Here is a 21,569-nt window from a genome sequence, read left to right as displayed (position 1 = left end):
AGTGGCCATCTTCCTATATACTAATTCAAATGTGTTTATCCATATGCAGTAGTGTTGACATGCACTTACAGGCAGATCATTGCTGTATCTTACTTCTTTCACCCTCAAAATGAAAGGTTATTGAATGTTGGCTCTGCAAGTAATGAGACCTCAACTTTAGTCATATAGACAAATGCAGAATAAACTACAGACTGATTTTCTCTGCATATGCTACAATGGACACACTTGTAGCAAGCCTAAATGAAAAACTATTTCTTTTTGAATAGTAATAGATTTTCTGCAACGTTTAAAATTCATTGAATACAAAGAAATTTACAGCTCTTAGAATTAATAAAATTGAATTTAGCAGTAAAACGTATTACAGTTTCAAGTAAAGTATAGATGTGTTCTGTTTTGTGAAAATCCAATATCAAATATTCACACATAAAGTAAACAAATGAAGGAATTTTTCACTTTGTATAAGGATTTTCCAAGTAGACAAGCATGGTGAGGCCCCACTAGATAGGGGACATGGTTGGGTTCCAAGTTGTGTTACATGTAGGGCTCAAGGAAGATCATATTGTCTCTCTCTGAGGGTGTCCTTCGTAATGGAAAGTGCCGGGATAAAGATGAACTACATATGCAATCCATGTAAAAATTACAAAACAGCAGCAGAGAGAACCAGACCAAGCCAGGAGTGGCCAGGAAATACTGCCTGCCTTTTCCAGGTACCCAATTACAGAAGATGTCATCTGCTTCCCCAACTTCTTTTTCCAGTTCTAGCATGGGAGAAGTGAGGCCTTGGAAGGGAAGGTGGGTATGGGGAGTGAGGGGGAAGATCCCAGAAACTGTATACCTCTTCCATATGCCAAGACATTAGACTGCAAGGAGGAGGAAAAAAGAGCTACTCTTCTCTCCACTTTAAAACCCTGAGACCTAAGATATTTAAATCTGATAGGAAATGGGTGTTTTAATCTACTTTGGATTAGACACAACTTTTTATAAGTGAATGGAAATATAGAATCTGCTCAAGATATTAAGGGAGGGGGCTGAATAGAGGGTGGTTGCAAACAGCAATTGAAAAACCAAAATTATCATGTTAGACTTTTTAAGCCTCCAATTCTAGTACACAAGCACCAATATGTGCATATTAATTTGCTGAGGAGTCCAACCTTTTCCGCTTTTTAGCTGTGTAGTAACGAATCATATACCTCTAAGAAAAAGCTTGAAGACAAAAAACAGTTGAATTGGCATGAATGCAAGCACTTCTCACCTTGAGACTTCTAGATTGGTATAAAACGTATAGGATACAGGAGCAGCAGACTGGTTTATACCACTATACTGCCATAAAGACCCTGCCCACCTAAGACCCCCAGGTTCAAGTTGAGAAATATAGGGGTCAGCTCTTGCAATCACAACTCTATCTCCCATGCTCAATAGTGTCAAACTCTTAATATTTCAATTATTGTTTAAAGGCATCAGATGCCTTCAATAAGGAAGAAGGTAAGAGATACGTCCCTTACAAAAAGAATATGTAAAACATTGGGAGTGGAACAGAGGGGAGGTCTTTGGGATAAAGGAATGAGGTGTATATGGCAGTGCAACAGAGTGTTTGGTTAAGAACAGGAATTCTGAAATTAAACTGCTTGGCTTTGAACCCTGGTTCTTATACTATTAACTGTTGATATTGGGCATGCTGTGTGATACTTCTGCTCCTCCAGCTTACTCATCTCATAAAATGGTGCTACTATATTGCTCTCCTAATAGAGTTATTGTGAGGATTTAGTGTATTAATATATGTAGAGCATTTAAAACAGTACCAGTCTATACTAAGTACTTCATAAATGCTAATTATTATTATTATACATTAGAAGAAATATTAAAACATCCTAAGAAAAGTAAGATAAGGAGTCATCTTAAACCTTAGACTGAAACCAACCAGGAGACAAAGTATATTCTTATTTACTTTGAGATAATGAGATAGGGATGAGAACTGGAGAAGGAAGACTTTCTCTTTCGGGACAGAATGAATTAGAAGTGAAGTACAAACTGCTTCTATGTCTTAGACCAAGTTGTATTATCTCCCAACCATCAGTGAATGTAAGTAGGGCAGAGTACCATAGTACATAATATCTAAAGATCCTGGGATAGCTGCGTTAAGATGATATCTCATTGTGGTTTTTATTTGCATTTCCCTGATGAGTAGTGATGTTGAGCATTTTTTTCATATGCTTATTGGGCATTTATACGTCTTCTTTTGAGAAATGTCTATTCAGGTCTTTTGCACATTTTAAAATTGGATTATTATTACTTTTGCTATTGAGTTGTTTGAGGAGAGTCGTGGAAATGGGAGTGGAAAGAGATTGGTCAATGGCTACAAAATTGCAGTTAGATATGAGAAATACATTATTTTGCTCTCTTGCACCATAGGGTGACTATAGTTAAAAGTATGGTGTATTTCAAAATAACTAAAAGAAAGGACTTTCAATATTCTTGCCACAAGGAAGTATTAAATATTTGAGGTGATAGATATGCTAAATACCCTGATTTGTTAATTATACAATTTATACATGCATAGAAACATCATACTATACCCTATAAATATGTGTAATTATTATATGTCGATTAAAAACAAAACCAAAAAAAAGCTTCATATGTAATATTTAGAATCATTTGGCAGCTTGGGGAAGTGCTTTTCTATTGGAGAAGAGATCTGAGTATTGTTGATGAAGGTATCAAATCCTGTAGCATTCAAGTGTTTGAATAAAGATAAGTAACTAAAACTTTTTGGCTTATCCAACCAGTAACCTTAGAGTGATGATAATGCCTCCTACCCAAGATGGTTGTGATACTTATAAATCATACATAAAAACTTCATTATTTTACTTAATCCCTGCAATTGGTTTGATTTCTCTGTTGAAACTCTTTAAGAAGAATCAAGGAGAGAATGGGTTCACATCTCTCACTTAGTGAATGCTTAAAAGAGAGGGTGTTAAACATTTCCTGGTGATGGGGAGAAACAGGTGACTAACAACATTTTTGTTATTAGTTTTAGTTTTACAGCTGAGTGGGAATGGAAAAGTTTTCTAAATCAGAAAGCCTAGGTGTTGAGAGGTAAGAAATAAAGAGGATTCAGTATTAAAATAAATGTCAATCAAAAATGTAACATAAAAATGTTCTATTATGAAATGTAAAGATTTTATCCAGACTAATCTTAAATCTTAGAAGCAGAGCTCTGTATATGATTATTTCATATGTGTTTATGAGGACAAAGTATGTATTTCCCACAGGACGGAGAAGGGGCACCGTAGTGGACACAGAAACCTTCCAGATTCACTTTCTATGTTCTGGCACCTAATACTGAATGATATGCTGATGAGCAAAGAAAAGGTGCACTCCTATAGAGCATGACACCCTACAAGTTTACAGTCATCTGGTTGCTTGGTTCTGGCAAGGCTTTAGTTTCATGTATGAAAATAACAGAAAAGCCATTAAATGTAGTTTTTCATACAAACCTCTAGGTTTCCCAAATGCATATTCTAAAGATGCCTGGGAGAAATCGCTTTCGGCCCTGAAGCACTGGCTGTTACTCCCTCTTGTGAGTGTATTCAGTTCCTTATAGGGTTTCTCTTACTAATCTTTTTTGTCCTCTCAAATTTAAAATTATTAAGCATTTTTTATAATCTAGGAAAATTATGTTTATTTTTATAGCCAGACTAATCAATGTATAATGCTTGAAAATATTTAAGGTCATTTGTTTGATCTTAACTTCCAGGGATAAATCTTTGCTATTATGTGTTTAATTATATATTTCCAAATATGTTATATTTTTATCACATAGCAAAACCCCAAATATCTTTCCTGTGACTAGAGTTTGTGCATATTTTTAGTACTCTATTTTTGCTTAAATGTGAAAATGACATTCAGCTTGGCTCGTGTTAAATGATTGTTTGCTATTTAAAGAACTAAGCACCCTTAAATCAATAACATACATGAAAAGACAGGAAAAAGAAAGTGGTTTTCAACTACTATTATTATGATATTTTTATACTTTTTAAAGGTGTATGTATCTCAGCTTGTTCTTAATATTAGTGAAAACATAAAAGTGCAAGTGTTTTATTCTGTAAACATCACACACCAAGGTGTGAAAAAAAAATGCCAGTGTTTTTCCTTCACCTAGACTTCTGATTCAGCTGATTTTGAGGCTCCTGTGAGTTTCTGTGCTAATTTTGAGGCTTCTGTGAGCTGCTCCCTACAACAGTACCTTCTGGACATCTTTCTTCTGCTGATGATGAGAATTAGGTGGAGGAGGAGGAAGGGAGGAGAGAGTAAGCATCCTCCACATTATTGCCAGAAATCCTCACTCCCACATAGGACACATTACATGGCACAGTTATCTGAGCTCCACCCAAGGGTATGGGAGCCAGAGGGCACTGGGCACATGGGAGAGCAAGGGGAAAGATAACAGAATTAGCCAGAGGGAAGTTAGGAGGAGATAGACAATGCTGAAGAGGGAAGTGGGATCCTTCTCTTTTACCTGTTTTTCCAATAAGGCGTCACACATATTGAATCTAACTTTTGCATAGAAATATTTGAAAATATTCCAAGGAAATCACCATAGATGTGCACAAAGATTCAAAGGATGCTTACCCCACTTCCACATTTATGTAATTGTCAAAAATAGGAATCTTATGTTTATGTATTAAAAGATTTCATATTGTTAAAATATCCACACTATCTGAAGTGATCTACAGGTTCAACACAATCTCTCTCAAACTCCCAGTGACATTTTTTAGAGATATAGAAAAGACAATCCTAAAATTCACACGGAACCACAAAAGACTCTGAATAGCCAATGTAATCTTAAGAAAGAACAAAGCTGGAAGCATCACATTTCCTGATTTCAAAATAGATTACAAAGCTCCAGTAATTAGAACAGTAAACTGCAGGCATAAAAATAGACACACAGACCAGTGGAGTAGAACAGAGAGCCCAGAAATTAATCCACACATATATGGTGAACTGATCTCCAACAGGGATGCCAAGAATACACAATGGTAAAAGGGTAGTCTTTTCACCAAATGGTGTTAGGAAAACTGGATATTCACATGCAAAAGAATGAAACTGGACCCTTATATCACACACAAAAGTTCACTGAAAATGGATTAAATGTAAGACTTGAAACCACAAAAATCCTAGAAAAAAAAAAAGAAAAAAGCTCTTGACATTGGTCTCGACAATAATATTTTGGATATAAAACCAAACACACAGGTATTGAAAGCAAAAACAGACAAGTGAGATGATATCAAACTAAAAGGAAACAATCAACTAAATGAAAAAGTAACTTAAGGAATGGGAGAAAATATTGGCAAATCATATATCTGATAAAGGATTAATAGCTAAAATATATTTTAAAAACTACTCAATAGCAAACAAAAAATAATTTTTCACAAAGGACCTGAACAGACACATTTCCAAAGAAGATGTACAAATGACCCATAAGTATATTAAAAAATGCTCATCAGTAATCGTTAGGGAAATGAAAGTTAAAACCACCATGAGCTATCACCTCACATCTGTTAGAATAACTATTCTGCAAAAAATCAAGAGATTACAATCGTCGGTGATGGTTTAGAGAAAAAGGATTGCTGGTACACTGTTGGTGAGAATATGAATTGGAAATATAAATATGAAAAATAGTATGGAGATTCATCAAAAATTTTAAAAACATAACTATCATAGGATCCAGTAACCCCACTGCTGGATATATATCCAAAAGAAATGAAATCAGTGTCTCAAAGACATCTGCACTCCCATGTTCATTGCAATATTACTCACAATAGTCAAAATATGAAAACTGAAATATTATTTAGCAAAGAACATACACACATATACATATCCACACAATGAATACTAATTCAGCCTTAAAAATGAAGGAAATCCTGACATAAGGGACAACATGGATGAACCTGGAAATTATGCTAAGTGAAATAAGCCAACCACAGAAGGGCAAATACTGCATGATTTCACTTATGTGAAATATCTAAGATAGAACAATAGAGCAGAATGGTGGTTGCCAAGGGCTGGAGGGGAGAGGGAAATAAAAATTGCTGCTCAATAGATACAACATTTTAGTTATACAAGATGAATAACTTCTACAGATCTGCGGCATAACATTGTACCTGTAGTTAAAAATATTGTACTGAACACTTAAAAATTAGTTAAAAGATAAGTTTTCATGTTATGTGTTCTTACCACATTAAAAAAACACACACAAACTTGGCAGCAAGCTATGTGTCTAACATTTGTGATTGACTAATCTAATTATGATGTATCTATATAATGGGATATTAGGCAAATATTAACGTATTTTGTGCATATATTTGGAAACATGAAAAATATTTACAAAAGGTAGGTTGAAAGTAATTTGATGCCATTTCAGTGATATTTATATTAAATTTAGTATGTATGTATATACATTATTTGTATTATTATATATAGTATAGCAAGTTCTCAGCTTCTACACTGTCATGTAAAGAGCTTGGAAGTCATCACTCCTATCATGATAACAAGAAAAAAGCTAAGCAAACTGAAAATCAATAACTCAATCCATCAGAGAATTGAGGTCATAGAGCAAACTGCTGCTACAAAACTGTAGAGAAAGGTAGATCCTGAGAATCACATGTCATTGAGAGCAGAAGCTCAGGAGCTGAAGCTGGTCATTGGAGCTAGTACTGGTAGAAATCTTTAAAGCAGCAGTCCCCAATCTTTTTGGCACCAGTGGTGGGTTTTGTGGAAGACAATTTTTCCATGGACAGTGGGGTGTCGGGGGGATGGTTTGGGGATGAAACTGTTCTCCCTCAAGTCATCAGGCATTGGATTCTCATAAGGAGCACACAACCTAGATCCCTCGCATGTGCAGTTCACAATAGAGTCTGCACTCCTATGAGAATAAAAATGCTGAGTGGAGCTCAGGTGGTAATGCTTGCTCGCCTGCTGCTCACTTCCAGCTGTGTGGCCTTGTTCCTAACAGGCCACAGACAGATACCAGTTAGCAGCCTGGGGGCTGGGGACCCCTGCCTTAAAGTGTAGTTGACAAATATCTAGATGCTCATTGTAGACAAGTTTGACAATTAAAAACTCTGGAGGACTTTTCTTAGGGGAGCCCACACTTTGAGATTTACCTCCAGGAGCTTCCACCAAATTCTTACAGTAAAGATCGGAGTAACATTCCTTTATGCTTCTAGCAGGAGAAAGAAAAAAGTAGCCATTTTGAAATATGTCCAGAAAGCTATGTTCTCCTTAACAATGGGAATTTTGGAATGAGAATTATAAGAATTTTTCAAAATTAAGAACATCCAGCAAACCACAGATCCAGGAATCTCAGAGAATAGCAAGCAGAATAAATATCAAAACATCCACACCTATGCAATTTGTATTTAAACTGTAGAAAAGCAAAGACAAAGAGAAAATTTGAAAGAAGCCAAAGGGAAAAAAATGCCTTACCAAAAAAGAAACAAGGATAAGAATTACAGCAGGCTTCTATTCAGAAACCATTCAAACAAGAGAGATTAGTGCAAAATATCTAAAGTGTTAAAAGGAAAAACAAACAAACAAAAAAAACAAAGGCCAACCTAGAATTCTGTATTGAACAAAACTGTTCAGCCAGGCACAGCAGCTCATATCTGTAATCCCAGAACTTTGGGAAGCTGAGGTGGGTGGATCTACCTAAGGTCAGGAGTTCGAGACCAACCTGGCCAACATGGTGAAACTCCGTCCCTACTAAATACACAAAAAATTAGGGCCGGGCGCGGTGGCTAACGCCTGTAATCCCAGCACTTTGGGAGGCCAAGGCGGGCGGATCACGAGATCAGGAGATCGAGACCATCCTGGCGAACATGGTGAAACCCCGTCTCTACTAAAAATACAAAAAAAAAAAAAAATCAGCCGGGTGTGGTGGTGTGTGCCTGTAGTCCCAGCTACTTGGGAGGCTGAGAAAGGAGAATGGCATGAACCCAGGAGGCGGAGCTTGCAGTGAGCCGAGAGGTGCCACTGCACTCCAACCTGGGTGACAGAACAAGACTCCATCTCAAAAAAAAAAAAAAATTTACCCGGGCATTGTGGCAGGTGCCTGTAATCCCAGCTACTCAGGAGGCTGAGGCAGGAGAATTGCTTGAACCTGGGAGGTGGAGGTTACAGTGAGCCAAGATTGTGCCATTGTCCTCCAGCCTGGGCAACAAGAGTGAAACTCCATCTCAAAATTAAAAAACAAAACAAAACAAACAAAAAAAAATGAAAGACAAACAAGACTTTCTCACACAAGCAGAAATTCAAAAAACTTGTCAGTATACTTGTCTCACAGGAAATGTTAAAAATGCTTCAGAGAGGAGAATGATAAAGGTCAAAAACTTAGGTCTATGCAAAGAAAGAAGGAACACTAGAGCAGGAAAAATGAAGGTAAAATCAAAATAAAGTACTTTACTTTTCTTATTCTTAGTTTATCTAACAAGTTTGTTCAAGATAATGATAGCAGCAGTTTAGTAATTATAGTTTTTGAGTAAGTGAAATGAATGAGCACAATGTTATAAGGGATGGGAGGGAAGAAGCAAGAATATCCTGTCATAAGGCACCTGCACTATCCATGAAGTGGTATAGTATTTTGAAAGTGGCCCTAGAATAGTCATAAGTGTGTTTTAAACTAGGGTGATATGATTTGGCTGTGTCCCCACCCAGATCTCATTTTGAATTATAGTTCCCATAATCCCCACATGTTGTGGGAGGGACCCAATGGGACGTATTTGAATCATGGGGGCTGCTACATCCATGCTGCTGTTCTCATGATGGTGAGTAAATTCTCACAAGAGCTGATGGTTTTATAAGGGGTTTTTCCCTCTTTGCTCTCATTCTTCTCCTTCCTGCCACCATGTGAAGAAGGATGTGTTTGCTTTCCTTTCCACCATGATTATAAGTTTTTTGAGGCCTCCCCAGCCATCCAGAACTGTGAGTCAATTAAACTTCTTTTCTTTATAAATTACCCAGTCTCGGGCAGTTCTTTATAGCAGCATGAGAACAGACTAATACAGTAAATTGACACTGAATAGTGGAGTGCTGCTGTAAAGAAACCCAAAATGTGGAAGTAAATTTGGAATTGGGTAACAGGCAGAAGCTGGAACAGTTTGGAGGACTCAGAAAATGAGAGGAAGATAGGAGAAAGTTTGGAACTTCCTAGCGACTTGGAGGGCTCACAAGACAGGATGATGTAGGAAAGTATGGAACTTTCTAGACACATGTTGAATGGCTTTGACCAAAATGCTGATAGTGATATGGGCAATGAAGTCCAGGCTGAGCTGGTCTGAAATAGAGATGGGGAACTTCTTGGGAACTGGGATGAAGGTGACTCTTGCTATGTTTTAGCAAAAACACTGGTGTTATTTTGCCCCTGCCCTAGAGATCTTGGAACTTTGAACTTTAGAGAGATGATTTAGGGTATCTGGCAGAACAAATTTCTATGTGGCAAAGCATTCAAGAGGAGGCAGGGCATAAAAGTTTTGAAAGTTTGCAGCCTGATGATGTAATAGAAGAGAAGAAACAATTTTCTGGGGAGAATTCAAGCCAGCTACAGAAATTTGCATGAGTAATGAGGAGCTGAATGTTAATAACCAAGACAATGGGGAAAATGTCTCCAGGGCATGCCAGAGAACTTTGCAGCAGCCCGTCCCATCACAGGCACAGAGGCCTACGAGGAAAAAAAATGGTTTTCTTGGCAGGGCCCAGGGATCCCCTGCTGTGTGCAGCCTAGGGACTTGGTTTGCTGCAGCCCAGCCACTCCAGCCATGACTAAAAGGGGCCAAGGTATGGCTCAAGGCATTGCTTCAGAGGGTGCAAGCGCCAAACCTTGGCAGCTTCCACGTGGTGTTGAGCCTGTGACTGCACAGAAGTCAACAACTGAGGTTTGAGAACCTCCACCTAAATTTCAAAGGATGTATGGAAATGTCTGGATGCTCAGGCAGAAGTTTGCTGCAGGGCTGGAGCCCTCCTGGAGAACCTCTGCTAGGGCAATGAGGAAGGGAAATGTGGGGTCAGAACCCCCACATAGAGTCCCCACTCAGGAACTGACTAGTAGAGCTGTGAGAAGAGGGCCAGAGTATTCCAAACCCCAGAATAGTAGATCCACCAACAGTTTGCACCATGCACCTGGAAAAGCTGCCATCACTCAACACCAGCCTGGAGGGGTGGCTGTACCCTGCAAAGCTACAGGGGCAGAACTGTCCATGGCTATGAGAGCCCACCTGTTGTATTAGCGTGACCTGAATGTGAGACATGGAGTCAAAGGAAATTATTTTGGAACTTTAAGATTTAACTACTGTCTCATTGGATTTTGGACTTGTATGGGGCCTGTAGCCTCTTTGTTATGGCCAATATCTCCCATTTGGAATGGATCTATTTACCCAATGTCTGTATCTGCATTGTATCTAGGAAGTAATTAACTTGCTTTTGATTTCACAGGCTCATAGGCAGAAGGGGCTTACCCACTCAAAAAGACTTGAATACTTTTTTATTGTTTTTGAAATTTTTTCAATACTATCTCCTCTGTTTGGATGTTTAATTGATTAGCCCATTAAAAGAAAAAATCTTTAGAAGTAACACATTACTGACTTCACAGAAACCACTTTCTCAAAAGTCAAAGAAACAGGGGAGCCAGCTGAAGGTTGTTTAATTTGAAAATAAAATGATCAGTTTGGACAGGAGGGTAAAGAATTGAGGTAATGCTGAGCTTTACTCAGCATTGTATTGAAGGCAGCCAGTGTTCATAGAGGGTTCCTGGGGCAAAAGTCAAAGAGAATAAAGCAGAGCACAGAAAATAAAGTGCTGAAAACAGAGGATAATATGAACTTTGTTTGTTCAATAGAGAAATAGACATTCAATCCCTGGCTCTGACAGAAAGGAGCTATGGCACATAGAATAAATATCTCATCAACTTTTATCCTTGGATTCAGCATCTAGACAATAATGGAAATGAATTACAGGCTGCCTAAGGTGCTTCCTGCTGTAAAGTATTATATTTCTAGCACAAGTTCACAGAAAGACCACTGGCTATTAGTTTTCTGTTGCTTCTATAAAAATTTAAGTTTTAGACATTTTTTGAGTCATTCCGCCTACCACAATCCACCCTCTGGATCTGTCCCACATACAAAACACATTCACCCCATCACAATGTTTCCACAGGTCTCGTTCTATTATATATCAACTAAAAGTACTAAATCTCATAAGTTCTAAAGTCTCAAATCTCACTATGTACAAAATTCAAAGAAGTTATGGGTGAGTCTTGGGTATAATCCATCCTGGGTCACAATTTCCCTCTACTTGTAGATCTATAAAACTAGGAAACTAGTTATCTCCTCCAAAATGCAACGATGGGACAGTCATCAGTTAATTGTTATAGACATACTGATTTGAGAGGGGAGAAATTAGAAGAAAAAAAGTCACCTCTCTCAAACAATTTTTAAATACAACCAGACAAACTTTATTAGATTTCAAGGCCTCAGAGTAATTCTCCTTTGTTCCTGGTTCTAGTTTCTGAGCTTAAAGCTTTGTTCTTTGGTTCATCCTTTCTTTCATGGCTAAAGGATTGCATGTGTTTGTAGCTGAATGGTTTTATCAGCCTATGTTATCTGCCTGCAGAATTTTGAGAGTCTAACATCCTTCTTTCATTTAATACTATTTAGTTCTTTTAATACTATTTAATACCTTTTCAGTTCATGCTAGCAGTGCTTCTGCTAATATAAAATTCTCAAGCACCTTGTGGGTCTCTCATGCATTTCACAGGATTCACTTCATTAGATAAGAGGTTTGTTCACAAATCATTCCTAGAAAATATCTCCAATTTTGGATTTTGCTAAGATGGCTGAAGGACAAATAGCCTTATATCTTCTGAGAGATATTTTCTGGTTTAATTTAGGGAATCTTTGAGTCATACCTTCGAACTCTTTACAAAGCCTTTTATGTGACTAAGTACTCTGCTTTTTGTAATGCTTCTATAACAAATTACCACAAATGCAAGAGCTTAAAATAGCACAAACTTATTATCCTACATTTTTGTAGGTAGAACTCTGGTAGATGTCTCAGTGAACTAAAATAAAGGAGTCTGCAGGTTGCATTCCTTTCTGGGGGCTTGTAGAATTCAGGTCCTAGCAGTTGTAGGACTCCTTTTTCCAGCTATTAGGAGCTCATATAATTACGCTGGGCCCACTTGAATAACCCAGGATAACTGCTCTCTGTTAAAGTGAACTGATTGGCAACTGTCATGTAATGTAATGTATCTACAGGTTCTGAAATTAGGAATTGAAGATCGTTGTTGGGGTTGGGGGTTTGGTGGGAGCAGGCACAGATCTGTCTATTACACTAACTAAGAGCAAAAATAACCCTGCCTTTTAACACATGCTCATACTCTCATCTAAAACCAATAGTGGCTGAATATTTGGGGGAAACTTTCCACCCTTCCTCATATTTTCCACATAGGAGAGAACTCTGTTTCCCTCCCCACAGAGGGAACTGTGAGCAGATACACTTCTGCATACTTTTCTACTCTGGTACACATCCCTTGTCTTCTTCCTTGCAAAAGTAGAGTTTATAAATCCACTTTTCCAAATATAAAACCTTCATTTGGCCAAGTTTCAGGAAGCTGGAGTTACTATGTCAAGGTCAGGAACCAGACATCATATTAATACTTTCTTTTTCTCTTCATGTCTGATGAATCAGTGGGGAGGTCAGGAACTTTTCCTCCAGCAGAAGTCTCTTTATTCCATCTCCTTATTTGTCTTTCACTGCTTGCATCCCTGAGTGGCCTCATTGGCCTTCTTCTCTATGAGTGAGTGGGTAAGTCAGGTTTGACCTGCCCTCTATACCCTGATGTCTTCCCTTAAGTAGGAGAGGGAAAAAGGGTCACACTTTGTCCTTGTGTGTACCTCTCATTCTCCAATCCAGTTTTTATCCAGAAAGTTCTTCTTTGAGATTATAAGGTCATTTCAAAATTATGATCATCTATGTTTCCCTTCAGATTTAGCACATAATTTTCTTATGAGGTTTGTTATTTAGCCCTTGGAGAGGAGGAAGACTAGCACCTTGAAGCTCAAACAAGATTATCTGCTTCACTCTTACTACTTTGCGGTGTGGAACCTGGAGGATTATTTGAAGTATTCTAGGATTTTCTACAAAATAGTTTGACGCAAAAACTGAGATAGAGGATCCCCACTTTCCATTAATGTATGCATAAAAGCTCAATTTTTATTGATTTGAGTTTACATCAGTTTTTAACTTTAGCAACATTGTTTAGTATTAAAAGCCATTGTATTTATTCTTAACATTGACATTAGTAAATAATACTATTGTGATATCAGTACAGGTTGATATACATTACATGGCAGCCAACTTTTGCTACTTGGTTAGATTTACAAGAGCAGAAAAAAATACTCCTAATTTTGAAATAAATCAGTGAAAATGTAATAATTTGATAATATAGTAGATTTATACTTTAATAGAGATATTTTATTTTGCAGCCCATCATCCAGTTCCCTGTCTTCTGCTAGCAGTACCCTGATTTTGCTCTGTGGAATCATCCTCTTCCTGACTTTCAGCTCATGTGCTTCTGGTAAGGCTTCACATTTGCTCCTGAGTTGAGTGTGGGAATAAAGTATGATCAATCTGAGCATCTCATTCTTTAGATTCATTGATATATGTAGGAATGAGCAAGTGATGAAATACAATGAAATGCAATGAGATTTTTGTTAGAAGAGTTGGAGGACAAGTACGCTATATTTCTTACTGTTTTGAACCGGATGAATATAAACCTGAAGCTGCTGTAGTCATCTTGCCATCAAAGTCACATAAAAGGGAGAGGCTAGAGAAGGATCAGATCACGATGATATAATCTGAACCCTTGAAAGCAGCCTCGCCTATAGTTAACCCAACCCTCAAACTTTTAAACCAATGTAGTTTAAGTCAGTGTGAGTTGTATAGTTTCCTTTTGTTTAAGTCATTGTGAGTTGAGTTTTCTGTCCTTGAATCAAAGGAGTCTGAACTCTTGACAAGCTACAAGGTTTACATATTCTAAAATACAACTTAAACCTATATCTGGGGAGTTCTTAGTGACTTTCCAAAATACACCTATAGTTTTCATTGTCATCAACACTGATTAGTAATAGAAGAAGTCAAAATATGTAAAGAAGGATATTTAAGTATGCCAGATTATTAAAATGCAGACTTTTTCATAAATATAAAGTCTTAACTATACTTTAGTTTTCACACTCCGTAGCAACTCGGATGGAGTTCCCGATAGAGTAAATGTTATGGATTTTCTGGTTGTGTTTTCAGAACCACAGAAATAACCTTTCTTCCAGTGTAGCATCTCAACAAATTTGCTTTGCTTATTGAAATACAGGTAAGTAATATGACATATAAGGATCAAGATGATGGAAGGGACTGCAAAGATTATGTGATTTTATCTCATTTTATAATTGAGGAATTAACCATCAAAGAACAGAGTAATTTGTGTATAGTCACATTCATTGCTAATAGCAAAGATGCAACTAGAACTCAGTTTTCCAGATTCCTGCTCCAAGGATGCTTCTCATTTCCTCAGCCTGTAACCAAGCATCTTGTTTTTAAAAGTTTTTTTTTCTTTTACTTTCCTGCCTGTTCCTTGTCTTGCTTTCCACCAGGCATCCCCCCCCTGCACAGTGTTTCCTTTACCTAGTTATGTATTTACTTAGAAGTTCCAGAGACTAAATCTTGAAACAGTCAGGCCACTGTGGGATTCTCTGCCACCTGGAGATTACTTCAAGGCTGCAGTTAATTTGCAACCTGGTGTACTCAAGATTGTGCCAGCCCACTTACCAGATGGGACAACAGTTCAAGATAGTCATTAGAACAATCATGTAGACTGGCACTACCTCATCACTCTTGTACGCCCATTATACCAAACTCCCCATTTTAAGCCTTTACCTTTGACACAAAAACCTGAAATGTTGTATTCAAGGCAAAAGCCTTAACCATTTCCCCACTGCTAGCTCTGGAAATAAAGTCACTTTTATTTCACTGCACGTTGACAATGTTACTGGTTTTGCAAGCACTGAGAAGCCAGGTCTGCACTCAGTTACAAGCACTGATGACCTGACAGTGCAGGTGTGACCACTATTTACTTACCACCTAAAATGTTCACATAAGAGAAGAAATAATAAGCTAGACTAGAATCAAATTAGTACTTATTCATTTCTGTCTTAGCAAACTGTGCCAGGAACTTTGACCACAGAGGTACTTGTCCACTAAAGTCTCAACACAGAGCACACATTGACTTTAAAGCCCGTGTGTAAAGTCTGCCAGCAACTATGGCTCACAGATAAAAGATCCCTAGGTAGTGAACTCTCCCAAGAGCCACTCCATTACAGAGACAGAACACTTTTGTAACACCCACATACCTTATATTTTATGTTACAGATGACATTTTAAGCTCCCACTTACAAAGAATCATTGTCAAGCTCAAAGGTCAGATGCACTGAATAAAACAGGTATCAACTTAACAGGAACTAGTGATTGAAGTACGTTCCCACTTTACTCAATTCTGTGAGCCCTGTCAGAGCCTCTAACAGGTCCACTGGAGCAATCTCTTTAAACCACCAAAAGCTCATTTACACACTATTTAATAACTAATCCTTTAGTACAAGACATTTTTGAGAAATTGCTTTCTTTGTATTTTTTGTTTTGAAAAGCTTCAGATTGTATACTCTATCAAGCAATTTTAAAAATCTAACTTTCTTTTAAAAAGTCAAATGCAGAAATTTTCTGCTGTCCTCATGGTCAATATTCTGCTTGAAAATGGCAGAAGGTTTTACAATAAAATGTGGATGTCCTGCTTTTTAAGGAGATTAAGGAGAAAAGCTTTTTGACCTCATTTTACCCGCACCGAGATCCTATTTGTGAATTTCCTGATGACAAAATAAAAACATTCCATACAAACAGCAAGATGATTCTTAATCATAACTTCCCTTTTCCTCTTGTATAGCTCTCTAATTAACATGTTTGAACTTATCCTTTTTTAAATTTTATTATTATTATACTTTAGGTTTTAGGGTACATGTGCACAATGTGCAGGTTTGTTACATATGTATACCTGTGCCATGTTGGTGTGCTACACCCATTAACTTGCCATTTAGCATCAGGTATATCTCCTATTGCTATCCCTCGCCTCTCTCCCCACCCCACAACAGTCCCCAGTGTGTGATGTTCCCCTTCCTGTGTCCATGTGTTCTTTGTTCAATTCCCACCTATGAGTGAGAACATGCAGTGTTTGGTTTTTTGTCCTTGTGATAGTTTGCTGAGAATGATGGTTTCCAGCTTCATCCATGTCCCTACAAAGGACATGAACTCATTATTTTTTATGGGTGCATAGCATTCCATGGTGTATATGTGCCACATTTTCTTAATCCAGTCTATCCTTTTTGGACATTGGCGTTGGTTCCAAGTCTTTGCTATTGTGAATAGTGCCACAATAAACATATGTGTGCATGTGTCTTTATAGCAGCATGATTTATAGTCCTTTGGGTATATACCCAGTAATGGGATGGCTGGGTCAAATGGTATTTCTAGTTCTAGATCCCTGAGGAATCACCACACTGACTTCCACAATGGTTGAACTAGTTTACAGTCCCACCAACGTGTAAAAGTGTTCCTATTTCTCCACATCCTCTCCAGCACCTCGTTTCCTGACTTTTTAATGATCACCATTCTAACTGGTATGAAATGGTATCTCATTGTGGTTTTGAGTTGCATTTCTCTGATGGCCAGTGATCATGAGCATTTTTTCCTGTGTTTTTTGGCTGCATAAATGTCTTCTTTTGAGAAGTGTCTGTTCATATCCTTCGCCCACTTTTTGATGGGGTTGTTTGTCTTTTTCTTGTAAATTTGTTTGAGTTCATTGTAGATTCTGGATATTAGCCCTTTGTCAGATGAGTAGATTGCAAAAATTTTCTCCCATTTTGTAGGTTGCCTGTTCACTCTGATGATAGTTTCTTTTGCTGTGCAGAAGCTCTTTAGTTTATTTAGATCCCTTTTGTCAATTTTGGCTTTTGTTGCCATTGCTTTTGGTGTTTTAGACATGAAGTCCTTGCCCATGCCTATGTCCTGAATGGTATTGCCTAGGTTTTCTTCTAGGGTTTTTATGGTTTTAGGTCTAACATGTAAGTCTTTAATCCATCTTGAATTAATTTTTGTATAAGGTGTAAGGAAGGGATCCAGTTTCAGCTTTCTACATATAGCTAGCCAGTTTTCCCAGCACCATATATTAAATAGGGAATCCTTTCCCCATTTCTTGTTTTTGTCAGGTTTGTCAAAGATCAGATAGTTGTAGATATGTGGCATTATTTCTGAGGGCTCTGTTCTGTTCCATTGGTCTATATCTCTGTTTTGGTACCAGTACCATGCTGTTTTGGTTACTGTAGCCTTGTAGTACAGTTTGAAGTCAGGTAGCGTGATGCCTCCAGCTTTGTTCTTTTGGCTTAGGATTGACTTGGCAATGCGGGCTCTTTTTTGGTTCCATATGAACTTTAAAGTAGTTTTTTCCAATTCTGTGAAGAAAGTCATTGGTAGCTTGATGGGGATGGCATTGAATCTATAAATTACCTTGCGCAGTATGGCCATTTTCACGATATTGATTCTTCCTACCCATGAGCATGGAATGTTCTTCCATTTGTTTGTATCCTCTTTTATTTCACTGGGCAGTGGTTTGTAGTTCTCCTTGAAGAGGTCCTTCCCATCCCTTGTAAGTTGGATTCCTAGGTATTTTATTCTCTTTGAAGCAATTGTGAATGGGAGTTCACTCATGATTTGGCTCTTTGTCTGTTATTGGTGTATAAGAATGCTTGTGATTTTTGTACATTGATTTTGTATCCTGAGAATTTGCTGAAGTTGCTTATCAGCTGAACTTATTCTTTTTAAAATTTCATTAGTAATATGTGTTGGCTGGATGCCTGAATCTGTTTAGTGTTGCTATAAAAAAAAAATACCCGAGACTGGGTAATTTATGAAAAAAGGTTTATTTGGCTCATGGTTCTTCATGGCCAGAGAGGAAACAAGGGTGGGGGTAGATGTAGAGGGTCAGGGTGGGCGGGGAGTGACAGGCTCTTTTATTTCTAACAACTATCTTTTCTTGCCGGTGAACTCATAGAATGAGTAGTCACACCCTCTCCCCCAGGGTCTGTTAATGTGTTCCTGAGCAATCCATCTCTGTAAACCGAACACTTCCCGTTAGTCCTCATTTTCCAGCACCACTAAAATGGGGATCAAATTTCAACATGAGGTTTGGAAGGGATGGATATGCAAACTATAGCACTGCGTGAAGCTTAAAGCTTACTGAGTAGGTAGCAAATAAGGGCCTTCTTTTAGACAAAAAGATAAAGAAAAGGACTTTTCTTAAAAGTATCCATTCATAATTTTCTATTCTAACTTTATATCAAAACCTATGCACAATATTCAAAAAGGATAAGCTAAACATACTCAGGAAGGGTTTAGAGAAATTTTCCAGGGTCATCCTCTCTTCTGTTCAACTTGTTCTAGTTCATTTTTAATTATTTTCAGTGCCTGAATTTGTGTTTCTGTCCCCAGGACCTTATTTTTTTATCTTGCTTTCTCTGTGTTTAACACTATATAATCCTTATGTTTAGCTCAGCTTTATATTTATGGGAATTTTTTTCTCAGAGCAACCTTTTCTAAATGACATATTCCAGCTTCAGTCATCTGGGTCAAAAATCTTGATCCTGGTTCCTTTGGCCAGCACATTGACTATATCTTCCTAGTGTGTTGAGGAGAAGGATTAAACAATAATTTTGCATAGAAGAATGTTCCTTCCTGTGCTGTATATATTTGGGGCGCCTACCCTCCCAGTCTCTTCACACTTCATCTTCACTTCAGGAGTACTACTTCTATAAGCCAACTTTAATGGCTGTATTGACACAAGGGCATAAGAGTTCCATTGGAGCCAAGGTTCAGTCTATGGGCTAGGAAATCAGAGCAAAGATTGCTTCTTTTCTTGATACCCAATAATTTATCTTAATGGACGCTGTCCTATGCTCCCCGGATGCACTTTCAGGGTCAGAAGAATTGTCTGCTGGTGACTTTGTGCTGATTTGTCTCTCTGGGAATTTCTCTCTGGCTGAAGGGATATGCTTTATCCAGATTATGTTACTTCCTCAGGGGCATCCAGCATCCTATGACTAGTTGATTTGGGGTACAAAGACCCAGCTCCCTGCCTCAATTTGTAACGCCATGGCAGCTTCAAATCTCCTCTTAGTTTATAGTATTACTGTATTAAATTTTAGCTTCTCCCCTGGACAATCCAGTTTCCTTCACGCCCTCCAGGTATTGTTCCCTATGTCAGAGAAAACTCTAATTAAATCTGCATAGTCATGTCTATATTGGAGTCTGTTCCTAAGACAAATATTTTATGTTAAATTTTAATGTTACTTTGGGCTCCAAGGCCATGTTTCTGAAAAAAACATTTCAACAGGTCATGAAATCTTAGGTAAATTCATATGTCAATGTCAAACAGTAGATTAAATATCACCATAAACATGAACAGCAGATTTTGATAAGAAACATGATTAGAAAACAGCAGTATTTACATGCTTTAAATAATATTGAGTGCAACAGAATATATAAGTAGTCATGTACTGCCTTGCATATTGAAGTTACTCAAGTAAATGATTGCATTATAAATTCGTAAAAGTAATCAACCTCTCAAAGCATAAAGAATCCTCAGTTTTCCACAAAAACATACCAAAGAAGAAAATTTTTAATAATTTGGAAGTGATGTGCAAGAAGTTAGACATAAGTCAAATCTCTTACCACTAAGGGTAGAGGGTTTTCATTTTATAATTTAACACCTGCTTAGACACTGGGAAAAATTGAATTGGGCTATAGATAAATTATTTATAACATTTTTAAAACTGCACACCATATTTGTAGAATATGTGTATGTATTTGAGGCAAATGCAAATATTCAGATATACAACGTTTTCAAAATAATGGTTTGTACTCTCTGTTTTACAAATGTTAAAATAGAATGTAAATATTTTATAACCCTACCACACACAAAAAGTTAAGGCCCACTTCTAATTATGCCTATAGATGACTTGTCTTAGAAATTTCTAGCATCTTTCTAGTTTCTCTATCTGTAAAATGAAGATAACAATATTTACTTTCCTCAGAAGGGTGTTGAAATGATGAATTTCCTAATGTATATAATATGCTTTGAAGATGAAAAGCTTCATATAAATGCTAATTATTATTATTGTGCATAAATTTATGAGGTATTACAGGTGCATAATTTCAAAGAATACATTAAAATGAAAATTTATTATGAATAATCCTTTGAAGTTGTAAACCCAATTAAATATAAAGGTAAAAGGCGATCTTCTAAACATTGAGTACAGATGGTACTGATTTTGTTCAGCTATTTCTTGTACATAGTAAGGTATATGTTACAATTAGACAATGAACTAAGTAGGCATAAATTAACTTTAGAAAACATGATGTTTGTCTTTCAAAGTTTTGTTCATTCTTGTTACAATTCTCAATTATTAAAGATTAATAAAAGTGATTCTTTTCAATTATTTTGTGACTTTGGAAATTAATTGTAGAGCATTAGGATTTACCCCCAATCATCAGTAATAAAGTTTTGGCCAAAAGGCAAATGGTAATAAATACTCCTAATCATTAAATGCTTTCCTCATTGCCACAAAAGGCATATTTTTTTTTTCAATATACTCCTTCTGCCTCAGGAAAAATAAACCCTGTTACTATAGTGAAGGTCTTGTTGAAATTCCCTTGGGGTCATAATCAAAGTGAGTCTGCTATGTTTTCTATCTTTGTGCTATACTAATGTATTTCAAGGACAAATGAGACATGCATTTTTGCTTAACTTGTGGTATGTGGCATTATATTCCATGGCAGCAATTCGCTTGGAATATTCTCTATTTCTTATTGGCTGTGTCCATAAATCTAGACAGACTTGGGCTGATGACCAAAGTGTTAGCCCAACATGAATGTCAATGGCAAGAACCTTACTGGCTTATTCCACTGTCACAGAGCCTAGCGCTTGGCTCTCATCCTCCCTTGGAGCTTTAAGGAGTTTCAAGAAAAGAAGATTTATCCATTTTTTTACTGTAATTTTCAACTGTTTTAAATGCAATTATTTGATAATTGAAGGGGCCTGCTAAAGATAGGGTAAAGAAATGTACCACTAAAGAGTGCTGCAAAAGCAATACCCTCACCTCTTATTGCTTGCTTCATTTTACTTCTGTAAGGAATTGTAATTATTTATAACCTATCTCTACTCAAGATGTTCAGACCAGTGATGCATGTGTCTGACTAACAGTGAAAAATATTTATCTTACTCTGAAGAGTAGCATTAATTTGTTTTAAGCGTGAGAGCTGCCAGCTAGCAAAATAGACAAAGCCATTTACTGAAATAGGGCTTCATTGTCATGAAAGCTAATGCACCTCTAGAGAGCACAGAGTTAACTCCATGTTCACTGGAAGTA

General features: G+C 37.2%; 1 long non-coding RNA gene across 1 annotated transcript in view; it reads left to right on the top strand.

Moving 5' to 3' along the window:
- LOC105377865 (uncharacterized) overlaps positions 1-21,569 on the top strand; it is a 374,941-nt gene that overhangs the window by 83,333 nt on the left and 270,039 nt on the right. Inside the window, exon 2 of the long non-coding RNA XR_002956359.2 lies at positions 13,536-13,627. This is a non-coding gene — a long non-coding RNA (uncharacterized LOC105377865). The remainder of the gene's footprint in view (positions 1-13,535; positions 13,628-21,569) is intronic.

This window comes from Homo sapiens, chromosome 6 (assembly GCF_000001405.40).
Source record: "Homo sapiens chromosome 6, GRCh38.p14 Primary Assembly".
Lineage (NCBI taxonomy): Eukaryota > Metazoa > Chordata > Mammalia > Primates > Hominidae > Homo > Homo sapiens.
The sequence above is the reverse complement of the archived record's forward strand: the minus strand, read 5'-3'. Positions and strand labels throughout refer to the sequence as shown.